A 25,312-nucleotide genomic window follows, 5' to 3' on the forward strand; every position below is an offset into this window, starting at 1 on the left:
CTCCAGCTTGGGCAGCAGAGTGAGACTTGGTCTCAAAGAAAAGTTATTGTGATATGCTGTACACATTCACGAATTCAGTGTCTCCCAGAAGTGTGAGATTCTTTTTTTTTTTTTTTTTTTTTTTGAGACAGAATTTCACTCTTGTTGCCCAGGCTGGAGTGCAATGGTGTGATCTTGGCTAACTGCAACCTCCACTTCATGGGTTCAAGCAATTCTCCTGCATCAGCCCAAGTAGCTCCTGCCTCCCAAGTAGCTGGGATTACAGGCATGTGCCACCATGCTCAGCTAATTTTTTATTTTTAGTAGAGTTGGGGTTTCTCCACGTTGGTCAGGCTGGTCTCGAACTCCCAACCTCAGGTGATCCACCCGCTTCGGCCTCTTGAAGTGCTGGGATTACAGGTGTGAGCCACCATGCCCAGCCAGAAAGTTTTAAGGCTATGATTATTAGACCATCACACACACACAAAGTACTTAAAAAGTCTCAGGAATGCTGTCCCTCATTGGCCTGGTATGACAAAGATAAGAAGTCGGTCGTGAAAATTTCTGAATGTGGTTTAGGACAAGGAACCCCAGTAAGAATCAGAGACAACCTAGAAAATTGAAAGAAAATTTTACTACTGAAATCATCCTTCTATAAAAAATAATAGAAGATGTCAAATATGAAAATAAAACTGTCCTCTGGGCCCTCAATTTTCTGTGTTATGGGAGAAGGCAGACAGCTACTCAGCAGTTATATCCCATAAGAATGGATAATACTAAAACAACTGACAGCATCAAGTATTGGTTAGAAAGTGGAACTGATTCTCTCATTTTCATTGTAGTTTAAGATGGCATAACCACTTAGGAAAATGTCTCCCCATTTCATACAATGCCAAATATATACTTATTTTATAACCCAGAAAATCCACTCTTATGTACTTAAACTCAAGAAAAGTGAAAATATTATTACAGAAAAAAATATGTATATCTGATTTGTTCGTAGCAGGTTTATTCATGATAGCCTCAAATCGGAAACTGCTTTTGTGTCTATCAATAGTGGAATGGATTAAAAACAAAACAAGCAAAGGCCTCAAACCTGTGGTACAGTCATAAAATTGAATATTACAAAATAATGAATAATCAGTAGGAGCAAAATGATGTGTCACAAGCATGTTTAGTGAGTGAACATAAAAATTATATAATTTATAGTTTCACTTACATAAATGGTGAAAACAGACAAAACTAACCTTTTGTGGAAAGAATCAAAACCGTGGAAGCCTCTGTGTTCAAATACTGACTGGAAATGGGCAGGAGAAAACATGTTTCTGCCAGATCTTCTATATGCCTGATGTGCATTCACTCGATGTATTTTGCGTATACTATTTTTGCAAATAAAACTGAGATAAAGGCAAAATAACTCAAGAGAAAATAGGTAGAAATAGGTAGAGTTGGGATAGAAGCCTTGGAAGCTACCCCCGTACCTTGCCCACCTGGCACAGGCCGAGGAAGTCCTGGGACAATGCTGTGAGCGACCTGAGGGCCGTCCAGGGGAGCCCCGCCAGCCCATGCTGGCGCCCGAGCTGCCCGCCGCCATCTGAATATGTTGCAAAGACAGTGCTGGCCTGGCAACCGGTGACGCTCCACGCCCCACCTCGACCCCCACTTCTACCCAAGTAGTGGCAACGCTAGAGACAGATGCCTGGGCGGCAGCGGTTAAGTCTGGCAGTTGGCCAGGCGGCCAAAGGACGGGAACTGGCTGTTCACCCCATCCCAGTTCCACAGAGAACTCAACCACTATGGCCCCTGAGCGGACCTTCAGGCCTGGTGGGCTGTGCTCTGTGCCCGCAAACTTGACGCCATCCAGGGGAGCTCCGCCTTCCCGCGCCAGCGCCTCAGCTGCTGCAGAAAACTGCAAAACTGCAAGTTGCACACGGGCAGAGATGACGGAGCAACCCCCGACCCTCCGCGCCACTCACCCTACCTGCACACCTGCCGCGCGGACCCTGGGGCGGGTGCCTGGGCGCCCAAGTCAGGCAGTCCGCAGAGCAGTGGCACCAGGGTGAAAACCTGCTGCTCGGTACCATCCCGGTTACCACGAAGAGCCAGTCCCGGCGGCCCCTGCGTTCTTGAAGGAGGACAAGTCAGAGCAACCTCTCAAGTGGGAGGGCGATGCACTTGACCCTGAGGACATCAGGTACCAGGCCCGCCAGCTCACGCCGGCATCGGAGCCGCAGCTGCAGTCTAGACGTGGTGCACCGGCAGCAAGTGACTGGACACTCCAGACCAGGCCCGCCCCGCAGTAGCGTGGATCCTGAGGCCAGACCCCCAGGCAGCAAAATCAGGCAACCGGCCCCGCCAGCAGCCGCTGTTTCATCCGTGTGGACACAGAGTGCCCAGCGCCAGGGCCCAGGATCCAGAAAGATGTCCAAGAGGAGCGGACCTTGAGGCCAGGTGGGCTGTGCGCTCTGCGGCCCTGAGGCCATCCAAAGGAAGCTCCGCCATCCTGCGCCAGTGCCAGATCTGCAGCTGCAAACCGCGCGTGTGGCACTGGCAGCAGTGAGGGCGGGTGGGGGAAGGAGCAGCCCCTGACTCTGCCTCCATCCCTCTCCAGCTACCTGACACTAGCCACACAGACTTCAGGGCCAGAGCCTCAGCGTTCAGCCAATCCGCGAAGCCACTCAGGTGGCCGCGGAGTGCCCTTGCCAGCACCGTATCTCCCTTCCGAGGAGGAGCGGGGCGGGCTGCAAGGCCAGACAGGCCCTCCTTCTCAGGCCGGGCTGGCTGCGCGCCTGCGATCCTGGGGCCGCCCGGGCGATCCCAGGAGAACCGGCGAGCCCATCGGCGCACGCCCAGAGCTGCAGCCCCACCTGCTGGCGCGCGCCGCTAGGGAGCGTCTTCCGGGAGCCCGGCAGCAACCGCGGTGCAGGCGCGCGCCGCCAGGGAGCGTCTTCTGGGAGCCCGGCAGCAACTGCCGTGCAGGCGCGCGCCCAACGGCTTTGCGAGGCTCACTCGGTCTGAGAGGTCGGAGGCTGCGAGTGTCGCTGCTGAAGGCTGTGGTGGACCGGGCTGGATCGCGGATTGTGGAGTAGATTATAGATTTGAAATAGCGGAGTTGGGGTTGGATCGGGGCTTTGGGGTTGGATAGGGGATTTGGGGCTGGGTCGGCCGGGGTCGGGGAGGGGGGTGGTGAAAAGGTGACAGGGAGCTGCCCTCGCTCAAGAGCCGGTGGTTGGGGGTCTGAGAAGAAGTCACCAATATGAAGTTATTCGGCTTCGGGAGCCGCAGGGGCCAGACGGCCCAGGGCTCCATAGACCACGTCTACACGGGTTCCGGATACCGAATCCGGGACTCCGAACTGCAGAAGATCCACAGGGCAGCTGTCAAAGGCGACGCCGCGGAGGTGGAGCGCTGCTTGGCGCGCAGGAGCGGAGAACTGGACGCCCTGGACAAGCAGCACAGGTAGCGGGGGCTCAGCCCGGGGTGGGAGGGGGCCCCCAGGCCCGGCTTCCCCGCAGACCCTGGGACGGGGCCGTGCAGGGCGCCGGGCACCCTCGGAGCGGCGGAGCCAAACGGACTCTCAGCTGTTTTCCATCCCTCATAATTCCCTGGCTGGAGCAGTTGGAGAATTTGAGTGATTTAACTCACAAAGTTAAGCATATACAGCGTTGTTATTTTTAACGTACACGTTTAAAATATGGTTTATATACATTATAGGAGGTGCCTAATGAGAGTACTTGTTCCCCTATCAAAAATAACCGTGAGTTGTTTCAGTGGGCGAAAAGTTCTCAGATAAGAGAGCTTACTTGAAAAATATTTACTATATTATATATATATATATATTTTCAGATGAAAAGTATGTTTTCATTTTATAGGGAATTCATTATATTCTTTTTTTTTTTTTTGAGTCGGAGTCTCGCTTCTTTGCCCAGGCTGGTGTCCAATGGCACAATCTTGGCTCACTGCAACCTCTGCCTGCCGGGTTCAAGCAATTTTCCTACCTCAGCCTCCCAAGTAGCTGGGATTGCAGGCAGGTGCCAGCATGCCTGGCTAATTTTTGTATAGTTTCACCACGTTGGCCAGGCTGGTCTCGAACTCCTGACCTCAAGTCATCTGCCCGCCTCCGCCTCCCAAAGCGCTGGGATTACAGGTGTGAGCCACCGCGCCTGGCCTATGTTGTTTATTATATATCATAAGATATATATATATTACTGATATGTATACATATATAACACATATAATATGTTATATATATCAGTTATATATACACATTAGATGAAAAGTACCTCTTCATTTTACAGGAAATTCTTTCAAATCAAATCATCAAACACTCTAAAAGTGGGCAAAGTACCTTTTTCCAGATCTACAAGTTACTTATATACATAGGAAAAAATCCTTCGCATTTCTGGTATAAGAATTTAAACTAAAAGAGGAATGAAACAGTTTTCTATCCACAATATTTGTGAGGATGTTTTATACTGCTGCTTAAAGTTGCTGATTACTTTTCAAAGTACTCATTTGAAAATGGTAAGTACTACATTTAAAAAATGTGTATGCCCTTTACCCACCAATTCCATTATACTAAAATACCCTTAGGAAATAAAGATACATGCACTTTATTTTTCACAGTACTTACTTTAAAGAGAACCCATAGAATGGATCCTATAAATAAATTTCAGTTGCATCCATAGGATGGAATAATATGTGACCACTGAAGGTGGCAGTAGATACAGAAGTACGTTGATGTGCAAAGATGTATTTTGTTATAGCTAGCAAGGAGAAAAAATTAGTTAAATTATACATACACAAACATACTATGGTCTTGTTTTAGCAAAAATATGTACAAAATATAAAATTTGTAATTTCTGAGCATTTGTATTTTAAGTAAAGTTTTTTTCCTTTTTCTTATCTGTGATTGCTGCAGTGAGTACAAAACTTCTAGTAAAAGTTTATTATTAATGGACTAATCCTTGGGAAGAGAGGAATATGAATCTTGCGCTGATGAAAATAATTTCTCACTTTCTATTTTTTGTCATTATTGTGTGTGTTGTTATCTTCTTTGAGCTTTTAGCCTCTTCAGAAGTAAAAAAGGAATGTTTTTATCTGTTTCCAGATTTTATTATCTATATATTTTATTATGTACATATGTTTTGCTTATATACTCATTCCATTTATGCAAACATAATCATTTCATTTTAATTGTGTTCTTTAAAAATAAAACAACACATATAAATAATTACTATTGCAAAAATATTGCTTTATAGGAGTTTATTTAAAAATAATGAACTCCCCAACTGTATTTATCCATTCTTTCATTCCATTTATGGATCAAGCATAACCTGAGTACCTGCTATGTAGCAGACATATTCTATCATCTCTCAGGACCCGTCCATCCTTAAACACTTCATGTTTACCTGCCCTGCCTGCACAAGCTGAGAGATTTAAAATAGGAATATTGGGACTTAATCTCCTTGAAACTTTATCTCCCACCTTTCAAACAAAAGCATTTCTGAAGTTAGAAAATAGTAGAAGATAACCTTTAACTGCTCTTTCGAAAGTTTATCAGTCTTAAATACTAATATTAATCATTGGAAAGTCTTATTTGCATATATTTTCTAAGTATAAATATTGAATACAATGAGCCATATGTATTCATTTGAATCATGAGTTTCCTTTGGTTTCAAGTTGTTTGAAAATCAAAGAATTAATTTGTTTAAAAAATGCATTATTGTTATTTCAGTGCTCTTTCCCCATAGTACCTTTAAGAACTAAAATGTATTTAAGTTTCAGTTACATGCCTAGAACTGCCCTAGACCTGCTGAGTATACCATATTCTACTTAATGTAAGGTCTCATGGATTGCGTGATGCCCCGATATTTTATATATCAATAAGATAATTTTTAAAATGCTACCAATTATAGTTATAACAAATCATGAATTATAAGTGGCATTCCAATGTCAGAGGTGTTAAAATGTGACCTACTCGTTAAGTCATCTTGCAAAGTAGGTATAATTGTATCATTCTACCTAATTAAAATGGTTTTGTTAAGTAGTAGTAATAGTAATAATTATAATATCTGGCTGGGTGCAGTGGCTCACACCTGTAATCCCAGAACTTTGGGAGGCTGGGGTGAGAGGATTGCTTGATGCCAGGAGTTTGAGACCAGCCTGGGCAACAAAGTGAGATTCTTACTCTACAAAAATTTTTAAATAAATAGCTGGGCATGCTGGTGCTCATCTGTAGTCCCAGCTACTCAGGAGGCTGGGGATGGAGGATCATTTGACCCAGGAGTTCCAGGTATAGTTACACCATTGCACTCCAGCCTGGGCAAAAGAGTGAGACTTTGTCTCAAAAAACAAAAATCTTACAATTATTGAGTTGTCGTAGGAACTGTTCTACATACTTTACATAGCTTCTCATTTAAGCATCACGATGGTGTCCTATGAGATAGCTACTATTGTCATCTTTATTAATGAGGAAGTTGAGGTACAGAAAGGCTAAGCAATAGTTGGTAAGTGTCAAGGCTTAAAGTAGGACTCAAGCCCTAGTTGAACCGAATCCAAAGACTGAGCTCTTTCTACTCAAATAGGCTGCTGTTTTCATTAAGGCAGTGAGCAATAAGAGCTAGTAAGTATTGTACTTTCTTCAAAAAATTTATTTGTTTTGAAGGCAGAGGAAAAACATGCTATTCAGTTTTTACATTACATGAATGATTGTATGTTTTGAGATATTGTACTACAGTTTCTTAAAAAATCCTCTTACTCTCATAGAACTGCTCTACACTTGGCCTGTGCCAGTGGCCATGTGCAAGTGGTCACTCTCCTGGTTAACAGAAAATGCCAGATTGATGTCTGTGACAAAGAAAACAGAACGCCTTTGATACAGGTATATTAGAGCCAACTCTTTTAGCATGACATGGATTTGATTTACATATATAGAATTAAAATAAATTGATCTCATTTACATATAACTAGTTGGTGAAACCTGTGGAATGTGTATTTTGAATTCTTGGAATTTACAGTCTGTTTCTTGGTCTAACACGGACAGGCTGTCCATTGCCAGGAAGAGGCTTGTGCCGTTATTCTGCTGGAACATGGCGCCAATCCAAACCTTAAGGATATCTACGGCAACACTGCTCTCCATTATGCCGTGTATAGTGAGAGCACCTCACTGGCAGAAAAACTGCTTTCCCATGGTGCACATATTGAAGCACTGGACAAGGTATAGGTCAATCAACTTTCTTTCCAAAATATTTGTTTTAACATTGACATAGGTAAGGGTCAATTTTTTATATTTGGAAGCTCAACCATTCCCTGAATGCAAATACAAATTAAGTTATTTTGAAATAACTTAATTGTCTAAGATTTTATTTTAAATATTGATATTTTTAAAGAAGCATTAAAGGGCACAGCTTTATAAAATGCACTTTGGAAAATATTTGTGAATTTGTTAAAGGTAAAACCTTTTCAACTTTTTTTCTACACAGGCTTATTCTTTTTTTTTTTTTTTTTTCTTAATTAATGTAAAACAACACAGGAAAGAAAATATTCCCCGGAATTAGGCTTTATCTTAAAACTCAAACAAAACTAAAGCAACTTACAATAAAGGGACATGTTGCTGTTGCTGCTAATTTTCTGAAAAACTGATGTATCATCTTTCAGTGGCAAGGCTTAAGAGGGAAAAATGGGAGGGGAGAAAGAGAGCAATCAGAAATATGCAGGTCACTTGGATATTAGATAATGAGGGAAAATGCCAGGAAGACTTTTTTTTTGTTTTAAAGTTTGTTTTATGTGTTGAGACAAGGTGCTGTTTAGCTTTGGGTCTAATAATTTTTGGTTTGAAAAAGAATGAATTGCAACTTGCCTAGAGATGAATTTTAGGAGGACTCTGAGGAAACCAGATTGGCAGTGAATATGTGGTGACGAAGTGAGAAACACTTCAGCAGAAGGTGGAACAAATTATTAACTGACTTATTGCTCATCCTGGCAGAAACAGCCACTTAGATAAGAACCTAAAGCCTCCTCTCAAATCTAGAATGTCTTAGTGGGAAGGTGGGAGATAAGGAGCTTGTAAATAGCAAAATCAAGTGGGATTTTGAGTTTACTTGTCCCTGTTCTACCCATAGCCAGGAAACTTAACTGGAGTTTTAATAAATGACACTATCTCTTACTCTTTTCTCTTTTTGGCCACATCTCCAACTGATAAAGGAATTAGCCATGTGGGTGAGAGGTGAGACTGAAGTGATTGTCTGCTGCACTGATTCTCAGAATTGTGCATTACAGTGACCTGAGGACATTTTGTTAAAAATCTACAATTGTAGGCTTTCCCCTGAAGATTTTGATGTAATAGACCTATTAAGGCCTGAACGTGTTTAAAAATGTTTTCTTGAAGCTGGGCACAGTGGTGTATTCCTGTAGTCCCAGCTTGAGCCTAAGAGTTTGAATCCAGCTTGAGCAACATAGTGAGACTCTTGTCTCTAACAACAATAATAGCCAAAAAAAAAAACCCACAAAAAAACAAAAAACCTTCAAGGTTGGGATACACTCTTGATTAAAAACCCCAGAATAGATAAGTGCAATATATAAATTTCTGTATCTCAAAAATGTAAGAAATCTCTAGAAGAGTTGGCATTTGATAGTTGCCACTTCCTTCAGAGTTCTCCTTTTCAATTATATTAGCCTGACTTATCTGTCTTTCTCTACATCTGTGACTGGGAAGTGAAAGGAAATATCATTGGCAATATCTCTCAGCTTACAGAATAACATGTTTTGCTTCCCACCATGAATCATTCACTACCATTCAGAGAGTCTTCAGAAATTTGCTTATGAGTAATCTTTCAATAGGTAGAGGCTGACCCTTTCATGATTTCATGTCCCTTTGTCACCACGCAGGTGATTATGTGTCAACAAATGTTCATTACAAGTTTGGCTTTCTCAATTAGAATAGCAAATCCTAAACTATTTTTTTTAGTTGAAGTTTTATTATGAACTATCTCAGTATGTTTGTTAAGTTTATAGAACTTTAGCATACCCAAAATGTCAGTTTTAAACACTGAAATCCATGAAGTTAATAAGAATATAGATAGGAATTCTTTTAATAATTTAGTTTTAGCAGTCTTGTGAACCAATTATCTATTTGGTTAATAATCTGGGAAAATTATATACAAACATATTTTAAATGAATACATGTTGGAAAAATTCTTGAAGCAGGTATTGTGAGTCTTTTTAGCAATTTTTATTATATATGAGAGCCTGATTTTTTGGTAGAACATATGATACCAGAGAAAGAAAATATTTTACATGCAAATACTTGGATTATACACAACCATTTAGTAACACATTAATAGCGAATATAAAAAAAACAAGGGCTATATTCTAATGTGGTACACAGATTTGTTTGTTTGCCTCTATAAGTTGAATCAACATGTAAAATTTAGAAGACTCGTGAAGAAATGTGGACTTCAGGCATATCCTAAAAAGTCAAATCTGGTGTCCCCTGAGTTTCTATCATTCTTTGGTCTGCTGTGCAGAAGTTGCCCCTTTATAGAAGGCAGGTATTCTCCAGTTTGCTACTGTGCCCACCTTAGTACTTCCCTTACTCAGGCAACCTTCCTTTGTCCTTGTAAGTATCTGAGTTTACAACTCCTATGTTATAGTATATTTTGATAAAAATTTCAAGGTTTTTAAGTCAGCATGTATTTGTTTATAATATATAGTCTATAGAGTATATAAATCCCTCAGTTATGGAGTTGAATTTTAGAGTTTAGAAGTTTTTAACTCTTTTCTTTATATATACCACAAATAATTCTCTGCCCATAAGAATGCCTAGAAGCCTTTTTAGGTTATTCCTGGTTATAGTTGGATAATTTATGAATATTGCAGACAGTACATCTTTCTCCTCAGTGCTCTTCCTTAAGGATGCAAGTGACTTATTGGCTTGTATTATGCCAGAAATAATCCATATGGATCAGTATGAGAACTTCTATTGATAAGCCATTATGTTTTTATTTCCGATTTATATTTTGTCTAAAATAAAAAATAATTTTAAGTAGCCATTTAAGTGGAAGCCAGTAAAAATGGATTTAAAAAGTAGAGCTGCACTAGGGTCCCGGGATTACCATTATAATTGAGAATAGTATTTCTTACTGAGTTTTGGTTTTTAAAATATTTCCTCTTAAGTTTTTTAAACCTATCTCTCTTACACAGAATATACTGAGCTTTCTAACAGTAAAGATAAAAATCTCTTCTCTTGTATTAGGGGAAAAACCCATGGACTATTTAATAATAAGGAAAATAAATGCATTTGAAGCCAATCTGTCTTAATTCAAAGCTCATTTCCATGGTGACCCATTTGGAGCAGGAGTGCCTGACATTGGCATCTGGGATCCTGACACCATTGATAGAAGTGAATCAAGCAAGTTTGTACCACCCAGAGGGAACTGCCACCTGTATTGGGAAGCTCTGGCAACTGTATCTCTGAAACTCTTAATTCCTCAAATGTTAATGTTTGCCACAAATAGTATTGTGAAAGGGGATTAGGTGAAATTAAAGAGATTTCTTGATTATTGGACATAAAATACAGTTTTGTAATACTTCTCAAATACAGATGGTCATGGAGTCTTTCTCTTGCGGTATAATACTTCTGATAAAGCAAATATTCTTTGGAATATAGTTTAAGAGACACTGCTTTAGAGATAGTAATTTAGATCATTAATTAATGTAAAAAACTTAAAATATTTGCTACTGTGTCTTAGGGTTTTAGGCCCTTGCCTCAAGAAGCTCTTGGTTTCAGTGGGAAACAGTGAAATGACTACAATGTACCATGATAAGTGCTGTGATCAAAGCAAGGATTCTTGGGACTAGTAAATGTTTAAAGTGAGTTTTGGCAATGACCACAGTTAATCCGGGGAGACAGAGGAGGGTTGTTTGCAAGGCAAAGCACAGCATATCAGAAAGCACAGAGGAGTGAGAATGAAGGGACTGCTTTTCATTTACTTCCTTTCTGTATTGTATGTTGAAGTTCAAAGCATCCTAGAGAAGATTTTCAGTTCAGTTGAGAAATATGTAATTTTGTGAATTATTAATTTTTTTCTGCTGTTTTATAGGACAATAATACCCCACTTTTATTTGCTATAATTTGCAAGAAAGAGAAAATGGTGGAATTTTTATTGAAAAAGAAAGCAAGTTCACATGCCGTTGATAGGCTGAGACGGTACAGTAGTTCTTTTTTTAAAAATAAAACCTGAGTATTCTAGAGTGGTCACTCAAGTCAGAAATATTAATAAGAAGATTAACATAATTATTGGCATATAATGAAAAATATCACCATGAATAATCAGGTAGACCAGCCAATATTTGGACTGAGTAACATAAAGAATAGTATATAGTAGGATTCATCTTCTCTTATAATATACAGAGTTTGGTATTTATAATCAGATGTTTTTGGTACTGTAATCTTTTATTAGCTAAAGGGTTTTGTATTAGTTTTATTAATTTTTTTTTTTTTTGAGATGGAGTCTTGCTCTGTTGCCAGGCTGGAGTGCAGTGGTGTGATCTCAGCTCACTGCATTCTCCACCTCCCAGGTTCAAGCGATTCTCCTGCCTCGGCCTCCCAAGTAGCTGGGACTACAGGTGCACGCCACCATGCCCAGCTAATTTTTGTATTTTTAGTAGAGATGGGATTTCACCATGTTGGCCAGGATGGTCTTGATCTCTTGACCTCGTGATCTGCTCTCCTTGGCTTCCCAAAGTGCTGGGATTACAGGCATGAGACACTGCACCTGACAAGTTTTATTCATTTTTAAAGTGTGGACTTTTAGTTTATGACTACTAGCATTGTCATTATTATTGTTGTTGTTGTTGTTGTTTTCAGCCTGCAGATAACTCTTATCTGACCCCTAGCTGATTTGACTAGGAAAGCAACGGGGAAATCTTCATCTAAATCTTTGCCTACTTTAGATAAGTGACCTCAGCACAGTTTCTTGGCCATCAAAGGACTATAAGTTAGCAACTTGTATTATGTCTTACCCCAGTGGGACAAGAGGCTTCCCTGTTGTCCCTTTCTTTTAGCCTTGGTGACAATTTACAAAGATGAACACTTGAGCACCCTAGATGCTTATAGACCCAAGCTAGTACATGCAAATGGTTATTACATCTATACTGACAGGCGGATATTAAACTGGTAAAGTGTATCAAACTAGCTTTTTAAAAAAGTCTTTATTAAAGTTCTTGAGTGGAGTTATTTCTTTGTTGTTTTAGGTCAGCTCTCATGCTTGCTGTATACTATGACTCACCAGGTATTGTCAATATCCTTCTTAAGCAAAATATTGATGTCTTCGCTCAAGACATGTGTGGACGAGATGCAGAAGATTATGCTATTTCTCATCATTTGACAAAGTAAGTGTTTATGTTAAAAGGCCAGTTAATGCTAAATTGAAGTTTAAAATAATTGCAACTACTCCATCTTATACATTAGGTGAGAGTTCATAGTTTGGTTCAGATAGTTTGAAATAGCGAAGAGTTAGTCTACCTTTTAGCCAGAAATCAAGCAGAAGTCTAGATTAGTTAGAAGTAGAGTGCGAGATTTTTTCTGGATTTTTGAGACATTTATCCCTAGGGATCTCAATGTTATTCATTTTATTCTAAGTATAATCCCCATGCATGGGATAAAAAGAGCCATGTCTTTGATTTCTTTTCCTTTCCTTTCCTTTTTTTTTTTTTTTTTTTGTAGAGACAAGGTCTCACTCTGTTGCCCTGGCTGGTCTTGAACTTTTGAGGTCAAGTAATCCCCCTGCCTCGGCCTCTGAAAGTGCTAGCCACCATGCCTGGCCTGACTTTTCTAATTAGTTATTGAGTCTTGTAATGTCCAGTTTAACAGAAAATCTTGTATTGTCCCCTGGGGCTCTCTCCTGTGTCTTCCTTCTTTGAATTTTCCAAGAAGCTAAGGGGTTTCCTAAGTCCAAGGAAGGCAATCTTTCTTTACAAGTCAGAAGAAGGGGAAAAAAGGCCATTCTAATCATTCTGTTGTTTCCATGGACTCACTTGCTGTATTATTGCCATTATAACCGGTCCTGCAATCTGATAATGATTGACCTTTGCCACCAGGATGCCTTCACTGATTCAGACCCCTCAGTTTTCATGGTGATTCATATATAGAGGTCAAAGCTACGGTGTTTATTAGTTTATGTACTTGTGCTCAGTCATTGTTCCCAGCACCCTGCTCTGGCAGCTAGGCCTCCTAGCTTTATCCACACAAATATTGAGCAAGTTGATGCTCACCCTACACTAAAAACCTTATTTGGAGCCCACGTCTTAGCTAGACTTTGCCTAGGCCTTCATGGTATGTTATCCTTTGAGAGCCATGTTTGTCTTTCCTTTAACCAATATTAGTTGGGATTGTTCTCAATAGTCAGGGATGTTCAAATAATGTTGCAGGAAGAGATCAGAGTTCCCTGTCTCTTTTGCTATCAGATCTGTACCTTGAGGCTTTTTTATATCCTGTGCAGCAGCTTTGGTTAGATAGCGGAATGTTCCATGTTATCTTTCCACTGAGTAGTGGGAACCAGCTTGCAGTTGGCCCCTCAAGTAATGTGTCTCTATAATCATGAAAATCTCCTGGGCTACTTGCAGCTCTTCCTCAAGTTTTCAATATATTTTAAAATTCTACCTCACAGGAAGCCATTCAATAAAATTCTCTGAATCTGAAGTAAGTGAGTTGGATTTAATAGAGCTAAGCCTCATCCATGACTCATGAATATCCATGTATCAAACAGGGCTTTGTACTTATTTCAACAGCACATATTTTAAAATTGGATCAATACAGAGCAGATAAGCATGGCTACTGCCTAGGGATGGCACACAAATTCAGAAAACATTCCATATTTTGCCTAGTCCCAGGAAGGCCATTTGACTATTTGTTGAGTAGCTCCAAGGAAGCAGTGTGAGCAAAACCAAAACAGGTGACACACAATATTGAAATTGTGATTATTGCTATGAAACTATTGATGTATGGTGATCTCTGAAATGGGAACAGAGCTGAGTAATAAGGGGATGTTACATGTTGTTAGTACATGTCTTGGAAATGAGAAAATGTCAACTTGTATTTCCTTCATGGAACTGAAAAACAATCAAAGCAGGGTTTTGTCTTGTCTGTTAGTTGGAGAGGACCATGGAGATCCAGCAGCCAAGCACAGATCTGCTGGCTCAGAGTTTGAGGAGGTAGAGAAGGAGTGGTAGTTGTCCAAGCCAGGTTTTGACACCTATTAGTTTTCTGCCCTTGGTGTGATTGATGAGCTCAGTGATGAGCTCACTAAATTTATATATATAGAAATTTAGTAATAAGTTATGAATTAGGTAAAATGCCCTGAATTACAAGCCACAATGAATACAAGTAATAACCAAAATTAGCACTTAATAACATTTTCTGAAAACTGCAACATTTGAGTATTAGAACTTACAGAAAAACACACACCGAGCATTATTTGGGATTCCAAAATGGTTTCAGCAATAAAGTTCAAGAATAAATTATTCCATTGCTTTACTATTTCTCTGAACATATAAACATGTAATCTCATTACATCTTCCAAACAACCTAGTGAAGTAAGGTAGCAGAATCCTTGTTTTTTAGAAGAAACCATGGAGCCTAAGAGAAGCAACTTGTCTGAAGACAAAATACCTACAGAGCGAGGTATTTTGGTTACAGAGCAAGGACTTACTCTGAGTGCAGGACACTTTGCATGATATCCAGCTAACTAGAGTTCATTTACTGAGCTGTGCTTCCTCCATTTATGAGTACTTCACTTTCTTTTCTTCTTTAATTATAAGCTTAATAAGCTTGTAAGGTTTACAAATTTGAAGTGTATGGGACATTAAAATTCTGAGATTAGGTCTGATATTGCTTGAAAGTGTTTTGGAATTTAATATGTTTGGTGAATATTTTTTATTTCATTATAAAAATGGCAATTTTATTTATTACTTTTGTATACATAGAATTCAACAACAAATTTTGGAACATAAAAAGAAGATACTTAAAAAGGAGAAATCAGGTAAGACTTCTGATTGTGAATTTCTTACTTGTCTTGGTGGTCCTACTCTTGATAAGAAAATACAAAGTAAGATGTAAGATTAAGGTAGTTTCAGTCAAAAAAGACCAGTTTAAAAATATGTGTAAATTGAATGTGTATATATGTATATACATATGTAAATTAATTTTTAAAATTTAACTTCTTTAGTTTGAAATTCAGATTTATTTAAGAAGGTAGTTGTAGCTAATTTACAATCTCAAACATTATTGTCTGAAAACATTCATTTATTTAATTATGATCCCTAAAATCCTATATAATATTTTTGCATAAATAAGAAAAAAGATTTTTAAGTTAGTATGTTGTATGTTTCCTCTATAGTCACATTATAACAAATTGGACTTGTTATACAAATGGATCTTCAATTTCATTTTTATAATAAATTGTTTATATTTAGTAAACAAATAACTACAGTTGACCCATGAATAATGTGGGGGTGAGGGACTCTGATCCCTGTGCAGTTGAAAATCTGAGTATAACTTTTGATTCCTTCACCTTAGCTACTAATAGCCCACAATTGACTGGAAGCCTTCCTGATAACATAAACAGTTGATGAACACCTATTTTGTTTGTGCTGCATTATTATATACTGTTCGTACAATAAAATAAGCTAGAGAAATGAAGCTGTTAGAAAGGAAATCATCAGGAGAAACATATTGACTTTTCATAAAGCATAAGTAGTCCTGACAAAGGTCTTCATGATCTTCAGGTTGATTAGGCTGAGGAGGAAGAGGAGAGGTGGATCTTGCTGTCTCTCTGTTGCAGAGGCAGAAGAAAATCTGCATATAAGTGAATCCCTGCAGTTGAAACCCTTGCTGTTCAAGGGTGAACTGTATTACATATTGATTTGTGTCACTAAGAAAGTAACTATCTTTAGAACCAGGAACTCAGCAATCCCTTTCTGGTACCATAAATAAATGGCAATAAGAACTGTAGAACTGAACCAGTGTGCACCCATACAAATAGGAGATTATTTTTTGAAGACAGCTACTGAGCACAGGAGACGGAAAAGCAATTCCTTTGTGAGAAGCACAAGTTATATTACATATTCGTACACAAGCAAAATGATTTTATCTGTCATAGTTTACATACATACACATACACACGTGCACATGTGCACACACCTGTGCACACAGACACAAAGTTAAAAGTCCTGCTGATTCTTAATGACCAAATCCAACTGTTCACAGAGAGCGGTGGATAACGCATCCTACTGTTTGGATGCAATTCTTTTGACTTTTTGACTTGTTTTGTGATGAACTGCCTTTAATGGGTTTAAATCATGTTTTCAGTTTTATGAGAAATGAAGAAAAAGATTAGAAGCAAGTAAACAGGAACTCTATGGTCAGTAGTAGACTATAATAGTATATTCAATAGTCATATGTTTTTCTCCAGTTACACAATTTACTTGAATGATGCACAATTAATCAATTATTATTATCATAGGAGATGGGGTCTCTCTATGTTGCCTAGGCTAGAATACAGTGTCTATTCATTGGTGCAATCATAGCTCACTGTAGCCTTGAACTCCTGGGCTCAAGCAGTCCTCCTACTTCATCCTCCTGAGTAGCTGGGACTACAGTTTTGTGTGGTTACATCTGGCCTGATACACAATTATTTATTTGTTTATTTATTTTTAATACAGGGTCTCCCTCTGTTGTCAGTACTGGTGTGCAGTGGTGCCATCTTGGCTCACTGCAACTTCTGCTTGCTGGCCTTAAATGATCCTTTCACCTTAGCCTCCCAAGTAGCTTGGACTACAGGCATGCACTACCACACTTGGCTAATTTTCTTTTTAAGGGATTTTTGTTTGTTTGTTTGTTTAATAGATGAGGTCTCACTATATTGCCGAGGCCGGTCTGGAACTTCCGGGCTCAAGTGATCCTCCTGCCTCAACCTCCCAAAATGCTCAGATTTACAAGTGTGAGCCACTGCACCTGGCCTTCAAAATTATTATAAAAAGGAATGAAGCCCAGTTGAGTTGCAGAAAATTGACCACTTTTTCATTTTTTTTCTAGAAACATTCATATTGTAGAACATATTGTCAATCACCCAGATTCTCTATTTTTTATTCAGATAAAAGAGGATTGCTGCTCATTTCACATTATTTTCTGACATTATTTTTTCATTTATTCCTTCTATGGCTTTATTCAATTGGATAGATATAGAAATACAAGAATCTCCAAGTCAAATATCAAGACAAAAAAAGAAAAGAAAAACAGATTAGGTAAAGTTATTCTGTGAAATAACCATCTGATTACAGTTACACGTATCATATCAACTTAATACAAATCTTACACAATGAATTTGTGTCAAGGTTTCCCAAGACCACCCCAGGTTTGGTGGTTCATTAGAAGGACTCACAGGACTCAACAAATAGTCATACTCAGATCTTTAATTGATAACAAGGAAGGGGACAAGCAAAATTAGTAGAGGAAAAAGGTGCATGTGGTCAATTCTGGAGGAAACAAGGCACAAGCCTCCAGGAGTTCTGTCCTGTGGAGTTCCCGGGATCTGCTTAATTCTCCCAGGCTCACATTTTGACAACATATGTGCAGTGATGTCTACCAGTACCAGAGTTTCATTAGAGACTAAGTGCCCAAGTTTTTCTATGGAGGTTACTCTCCCTCACATGTACCCAAATTCCAGACTCTTACAAGGAAAGCAGCTGTTTAGAGTAAATACACTGTTTCTATAAGCACTTTAGACACAGTGAGCCACTCTTCTCAGGGAATGGTGGAAACCCTCCCATTTCCAATTTCCTAAACACCAGCCAAGGGCCAGCCTTGCATGCAGGCCTTTCTAAGGATGGCAGCCTCTTGCCTGCTATATGAAATCTTTTCTGCACAACACTTGTAACCCCAACTTAATTTTTGGTGTTGTTTTAAAATTTCATTTTAATAACATAATATTATAAGATAAGGTAACTTGGTACTAATTTCTGTTGTATGATCCATCTTAAGTTGCAGTGCTTGTTACTTTTTTGACTTTTGGTGATGAACAGCTATTTGTATATAAGTTACCATAGCAATGTTAGGTAATTATAATCTGTCCTATTTATCTCATTAACCTTTCAGTAAAATTGTTAAATTAAATAAGCAAAATAATTTCTGAGTTAACATTAGAATAAAAATTGTCTTTTATTTTGATTACATGAATAGTCTAGTTTTCATATTGTGTTAAATCCCTGTTTAGAATTATGAAATAAGATAAAATATTCAATTATTTTTATCAATATTTTCTTATCTAAGCATGCAATTAAATTTATTTATTTTATATATTTTATATAGTTCAATTTGAGAAGTAATGACCACATGTTGTTACTTTGGTCTTCAATGATCTCTAATTTTTAGGGTCACCGTGTCTTGCTTAAATATATCATAGTAACAGGTTCAGTGAATATCTTTATTTTTTATTTTATTTACTTATTTTTTTGAGACGGAGTTTTGCTCTTGTTGCCCAGGCTGCAGTACAATGACATAATCTTGGCTCATTGCAACTTCCACCTCCCAGTTTCAAATGATTCTCCTGCCTCAGCCTCCTAGGTACCTGGAACTACAGGCATGCACAATCATGCCTGGCTAATTTTTTGTATTTAGTAGAGATGGGGTTTCACCATGTTAGTCAGGCTGGTCTCGAACTCCTGACCTCAGGTGATCCACCTACCTCGGCCTCTCAAAGTGCTGGGATTACAGGCATGAGCCACTGCCCCCAGCCATTTATTTATTTATTTATTTATTTATTTATTTATTGTAATTGTTCTGGAGATCCTGGGATGCATAGACAGTGAATATCTTTTTGTTTTTTGAGATGGAGTCTCACTCTGTCTCCCAGGCTGCAGTGCAGTGGTGCGATCTCAGTTAACTGCAACCTCCACCTTCTAGGCTCAAGCGATTCTCCTGCCTCAGCCTCCTGAGTAGCTGAAATTACAGGTGCCAGCCACCATGCCCAGCTAATTTTTGTATTTTTATTAGAGACGAGGTTTTGCCATGTTGGCCAGGCCGGTCTTGAACTCCTGACCTCAGGTGATCCACCCATCTTTGCCTCCCAAAGTGCTGAGATGACAGGCATGAGCCACTGAGCCCAGCTGAATATCTTTTTTTAAATCAATAACCTTATTTCTTAGAGCAGTTTTAGGTTCACAGCAAAATTGAGAGGAAGGTACAGAGATTTCTCATATATCCCATGCCTCCCACACATGCATAGCCTCCCCCATTATTACTATTTTCCACCAGAGAGTGGTACATTTGTTACAACTGATGAACTTACATTGACACATTATAATCATTCAAAGTTCATAGTTTACATCAGGCTTCACTCTTGATGCTGTACGTTCTGTGAATTTGGACAAGTGTATAATGACATGACATGTATCTATTACTGTAATATTATCGACAGAACAGTTTCACAGCCCGAAAAATTCTCTGTGCTATGCCTGTTCATCTTTCCCTTTCTCCCTAGTAACTCGTGGCAACCATTGATGTTTACTCTGTCTTCATAGTTTTACTTTTTTCAGAAGAGTCACATAGTTGGAATAATACAGTGGATATCTTTTTGAATAGTTAAAAAATTAAAGCTCCATGGCAGTTGAATGTAGTCATTTAAGATGTTCTTTGTCCTTTTGTTTTTCTTTTGCTTCTTTATCATTGTAAAGAATGATATATTCTGATGACATATGCTTTACATACTTAGAAAACATGATTTGTATAGATATGTGGCACATAATAGAAAGGGTTGAGGAAAAGGACACCATGCTGTACCACACAGCACAAACTGGAGCATCTTGCTCTGTGAGGTGGGTCCAGATAGATTCTCTAGCAATGGAAGGGGACAAGTGCAAGGGGTTGTACTTTATAAAACTGGAATCACAAAGTCTTTCATACTTACCTTCGGTTGGAAATAAGACCAGACAGTGAATGCTATAGGTAAGTACATAGGTTCCTCACTGATCCTCTTCCTTTGAGGGATGAGGTTGACAACAGCCTGTATTATGATGATGTGACTCACCTACAACTAGATTCTGTCATGAGGGATAGCAAGAGAGTTTTGCTTTCTGTGAGGTGAAAAAGAATTTTTTTCCCCTACTAGGGAGAAGGGCAAGCACTGGAACATTCCGGTAGTAAAAGGGCATTGATGGTTTTCTTTCTATATATTTTTCACATCATATAGTACTGTCCAGCAGCCTGCCACACCTCCCTGGTGTTTCTTCAGCTTCTCTGAATGTGAGGTGTGGTTCCTAGCGTATAAGCTCTTAAAGGAGTGATCTTTCCAGTGGTTTTTCTGTGGGAGGTAAAATGGCAGGTGAATTTGGGCCTTGCTATATGTAGGGCAGAGCAAATAGCTACAACTAAGTAAACCACCCAGCACCTTCCCCAAAGAGTAGTAGCCAGAGTAATACATTGATCTCTTTTGAGCTCTTTTCCACTAGCGGCTGGAAAGTCTTTGCAAGGATTCCTGTTTCTGGTCTGATTCCTATGTTTTGCTGACATCTGGTGTTAGGGTGTTTTATTCTAAACTGAGCAGTTTGAACTGAAGAGCTAGAGAGGCTGTGTTGTGTTATAACAAAATAAGTGCAGTAGCTCCCCCTTAACTGTGGGAGATACATTCCAAGACCCCCAAGTGGATGCATGAAACCATGAATAGTACTGAATCACAAACTGTTTTTCCCTATACATACATATGTATGCTAAAGTTTAATTTATAAATTAAATTGAATCTGATGTTACCAGCAGATAAGGTGTGAGAATTGAATTGTGTCATCAGCAGGAATGATTGCTTGCTTGTTGGTGGGGAAAAACCCTCCACACATTTGGTCACAGAAGCCTTCTTTGTTGATGATTGTTGCTGTGGTGTGACAGCAGAGAAAAATGTGTCAAGTATGTCTTTCTGCACGTATAGTGGATAAGGGGTACTACTGTGTACTCTGTTTTAATGGCGCCTCATATTTTGGTCCAGAAATCATGCTCTTTGACACTGTTGACTCATCACACCTGTTCTGCTAACAATACCATTTTTACTCAACCTCATAGGGTTTGGCTAAGATGACTTGCATACTGCAGTTCACTTGTAGATACCAAATTTTAATAAATTTATTCTTCTTTGCATCTAATAAATACAAAGGGAAGAGTTCTTACTGCATTAATTACCTACCAATATGTATAACGAATGTTAATTCTAATAAGGTCCCAGGCATGCTCCCAAAGGAATGCTTTGTAACAAAGCATCAGTCTTATGCTTTAAAAAACCAAACCAAACCAAAACAAAAACAACAACAACAACAAACAGGATCTAAAGCATACATACAAGTGTGCACAATTTTTTTATGAAGGTAGAGTCTTACTATGTTTCCCAAGCTGGTCTCAAACTTCTGGGCTCCTCAAGTGATCCTCCTGCCTCAGCCTCCCAAGTAGTTTGGATTAGAGGGATGCATCACTGTGCATTCTTATGCTTTTAATATTCTGTACATTTGTTATTGATTTAAAATGCATTTTACCTTTTTCTTTAATAGATGTTGGAAGTTCTGATGAATCTGCAGTCAGGTAGGATTTTATAGATTTAAAAAATTATGTTAACTAAGAAAATATAGATGGAAGAAATGAGTATCTGTTGAGTGTTGTATTCTGGGCTAGACATCCTAATATGTTCTATGCATATATCATCTCATAAAGCCATCACAACATCTGTGTTCCTATAACCTACTGTTTATTAAATAAACAACTATGGATTAGAGCTGATTAATTGCCTCATGATCCCATAGTTAACAAAGTAGCTGGCCTACAGTTTGACCATCAGCCTGCCTGCCTTCCAAATCCTGTCTCTTGCTCCTCAGCATAGATTGACAGATATCTGTGCAGCCCTTGGATCAAGGTATAGGTCTGAATCAGATTAGTCAGATTGATTAATTTGATTAATGTCTAAATTAATGAGAGTTTAAATACCTTGAACTCTCATTTAAGTTTATCATTAGAATGTGGTTAGTCCAAGAGTTTGTCCTAATAAATTTGACAATTTCAGTGGTAACCAGTATCTTATTTTTACCATCAAAGGCTCTAGGGCAGATCTTACTTAGCTTTGCCATAGGGGTGTAAGTTTTACAAAAGCAAGTTTAGGCAAGTCTTAGAGACAAATTATTTGACTTCCCAGTTTGGTTTTCCATTTAGGCAAGTATTTCTGCTTACTTCCATAATACATTTTTTAGTCTTGTTGCTTTTTCCGTGACTTTTCTATAATCTTGCCTTCATTTTTTAAAACTTTCTTCTCTGCTTTTCTTGGTATTTCTTTTGTTCTATTATTTTTTCAAACTCTGCTGGCTATGTATTCTAAGTTTTTCTATAGACAGAATCAAGAGGACATAGAATTACAGAATTTTAAGGAATCTTGGAATGAATTAAAATACCTTCTAGTATTTTTACCTGTGTTGAACATTCTGGTCAAATGATTCTCTAGATAGAGAATGTGAGGCTCAAAGAGTTTAGGATGCTTTTTTTTAGACATAGGAATTGGCAGAAATGAGATTTGAACTCATGTTAAAGCCCAGTACTCTTGCTTCTTTTTATATCCTATTGGCGTGTGTTTTAATAATACAAACGGGAGTGAGTCTGTGGGTAGAATGAGAATGGAATTAGCCGGGGAACCCAATGGAAGTAGATAAGAATGGAATGAGCAGGGGAAGTCCAAGTTTGAAGATAAACAACACTGGATTGGATAGGAGTACAGACTCTTCTATAAGAGATCAAAATATTGGGGTTTATGACAAGTTTGATAAAGATAAATTATAAAAATGAAGGACACAAGATGTTGGGAATTATCTACGAAGGCACATTAAAATAGAAGGTTCAAGGGAGCTCTAAAAAGTTTGCTGCTTTTTTTTAAATCAAGGACTGACAAACTTGAAGATTTTTACTGAAAGATGCTAAAACATTTTGAGACACTGGGAGGAGCGTCTGCAGCAGATAGAAATGTGGTGTCATCTGCTTCCATCCTGACTTAGAAAGGGGTGGCTTAGAGCCCCTGGAGTACTAAGGGGCTGGAGATTGCTGAACTACATAGATCTGTGGCCCAGTACAGGTGTCTCCTCACCTCTGCCTCTTTTCCCGATTCACTGATGTCCTTCCCATGTCCATGTGGGCTGGGTCAGGGGCATGATTGGCTGGCAAATCAGTCATGGAGTTCAGTTGGGTAGTTGGTAGTGTGTCTAGCTGGGGGCAGGTGATGGAGACTCCAGTTAGCTTGTTTTTCAGGAGCAGGGATATAGAGAGCTCCTAGTCCTGGTCATTTGAGGCCATCCTTTCAGGAATCTGTGCTTTCATAGACTGAAGATTTAAAGATTGGAGACTTCTGTGGAGCCCTGCAGAAGTGGAATCTGGAAGTGGGAGCCCATAGGAAGACAGATACTTAGAGAGTACTTAGGGAAATAGAGGTACACCTACCAGGACTCTGTTTTTTTCTGACAGTCTCTCTCCTTGGGTGTCTGAGTGCCTATGAAAAGTTTTAAGGGCTTGCTAGTTTATGTGGACCTGAATAAGGTAGGACCTATAGGTTGAAAATAATGGGATTTTATAATTGTTAATATTTCAATCTTTCTGGGAAAAGTATTCTCAATAAGAACATACACCTTTGTTATTTGACTTCTGTACATTTAGCTTTCATACATTTCAAATATTGTAGGGGCTTTCCTGTACTGATTTAGGGCAAAGGAAAGCAATAGGACCTTCCTAAGTGGGTTCCATGCTGAGGAATCAAGACTGTCATATTGAAGTGATGCAGATTAGTCTTTTATCCAGAGACAGATCATGGAAAAGAGACAGTGGATCTTTCTACCTTGTTTTAGGTTATTAGTTTTCTTCCAGTTTAGGTAACAAAATTTATGTCATCCATTAATTGAATTTTAAGTTCAGCTTCAGGACAGATAATTTGTGAGGGCAAATCATTGTCAGGCTCTGCCAATTTATTGACTGTCACTATTTGTTATAAAGCTCAAGGTTAGTTTTCATTGAATATTTTATAGATTTAGACAAGTGGAGGCAGAAATAGGTAACTAAAATCTATTTTTAGAAGAGGACATATTTTAATTATATCAAGAATCACTAATATATAGATTGCTGACCTTTCCCTAGATTATGGTTTCTTTTTTTGAGGGGGAAGCTGGATATAAACTGGCAGTTAAAAAAATTGTAAAGAAATCAACTTGCTCATTTTCGTTGTGTGTTTTTGCTCTCAAGCATTTTCCATGAACTGCGTGTGGATTCATTGCCTGCATCGGATGACAAAGACTTGAATGTTGCTACTAAGGTAAAGTGGTCTCTTGTAAAATTAATTTTCTCACTCTGAATGTACTTTTGCGTAGTATTTACTTTTCAAATTTAGCAGTGGTTTACCTATCATTGTTTTATGGTGGTAATGGAAAGTTGGTCAGAGAAAAACATACATATGGCTAGTTGATTCAAAAAATGTGTTTAACTTTGGTAACTAACAAAGATTGATAAGTACTGTGACAGGGTGGGAGCTGAAAAAAAATGAACTGGAAAATTAGTAGTGACAGGAAAATCACATTAGGAAATGCTTTCTCCAATAGAGGAAATATGAAATTTGCTTAAGGTTTATTTGGATAAATACTAATACTTTGACTTTTAAATCATACGAGTGTGACTTTCTTAATATTTATGCCTGTATAAATCTTCAGTGGATCAAATTATTTGCAGTAATCATGGGATCCTCCTGGTGATTTTTAGTGGCAAGAATATTCAGCACATAGCATATAGCTTTTGTTCTTGGAAACTTATTATTTTGGTATCATATTGTTTTTACGAGAGATTGTTTTTCTACTTATATTATTGGTTCTGTAGTGAGACAAAAAAAATAAAAATTGTAGAAAAATAACTGAGTGTGGTGGTGTACACCTGTAGTCCCTGCTACTTGGGAATTTGAGGCAGGAAGATTGCTTGAACCCAGGAGTTTGAGAACAGCCTGGGCAACATCGTATCTGATTTAAAAATATAAATTGTGGAAATATAGAAATTTAAATTTATGTTCTCAAAATGTGTATTGCAAAGGAATTTTTGTGTGGTTTATGAGTTGTCCATGAAGAGTTTATATAAGGCACTTCATCTAATTGAATAACATGTATTTTGCTGCAAATAACCAGTTCTAGAAGCAGAGACTCTTAATACCAATGGATGGTAAGACTTTATCATCATAATTTTGTCATTGTAGTTTATTTAAAATATTTACTTCACCAGGCGTGGAGACTCACCTGT

The 25,312-nt window shown here is 38.6% G+C and overlaps 1 long non-coding RNA gene and 1 pseudogene across 1 annotated transcript in view; both read left to right on the forward strand.

The window, feature by feature from the left end:
* Nucleotides 1-2,954: 2,954 nt before the first annotated feature.
* The window catches only part of ANKRD20A4-ANKRD20A20P (ANKRD20A4-ANKRD20A20P readthrough), a 99,849-nt gene continuing 77,491 nt past the window's right edge, over nucleotides 2,955-25,312 (forward strand). The window contains exons 1-8 of the long non-coding RNA NR_146419.1: nucleotides 2,955-3,438; nucleotides 6,748-6,862; nucleotides 7,025-7,198; nucleotides 11,082-11,188; nucleotides 12,235-12,372; nucleotides 14,965-15,020; nucleotides 21,565-21,595; nucleotides 24,278-24,347. This is a non-coding gene — a long non-coding RNA (ANKRD20A4-ANKRD20A20P readthrough). The remainder of the gene's footprint in view (nucleotides 3,439-6,747; nucleotides 6,863-7,024; nucleotides 7,199-11,081; nucleotides 11,189-12,234; nucleotides 12,373-14,964; nucleotides 15,021-21,564; nucleotides 21,596-24,277; nucleotides 24,348-25,312) is intronic.
* On the forward strand, nucleotides 13,755-13,861 carry RNU6-1193P (RNA, U6 small nuclear 1193, pseudogene; annotated as a pseudogene).

Source organism: Homo sapiens, chromosome 9, assembly GCF_000001405.40.
Source record: "Homo sapiens chromosome 9, GRCh38.p14 Primary Assembly".
NCBI classification, from domain to species: Eukaryota; Metazoa; Chordata; class Mammalia; order Primates; family Hominidae; genus Homo; species Homo sapiens.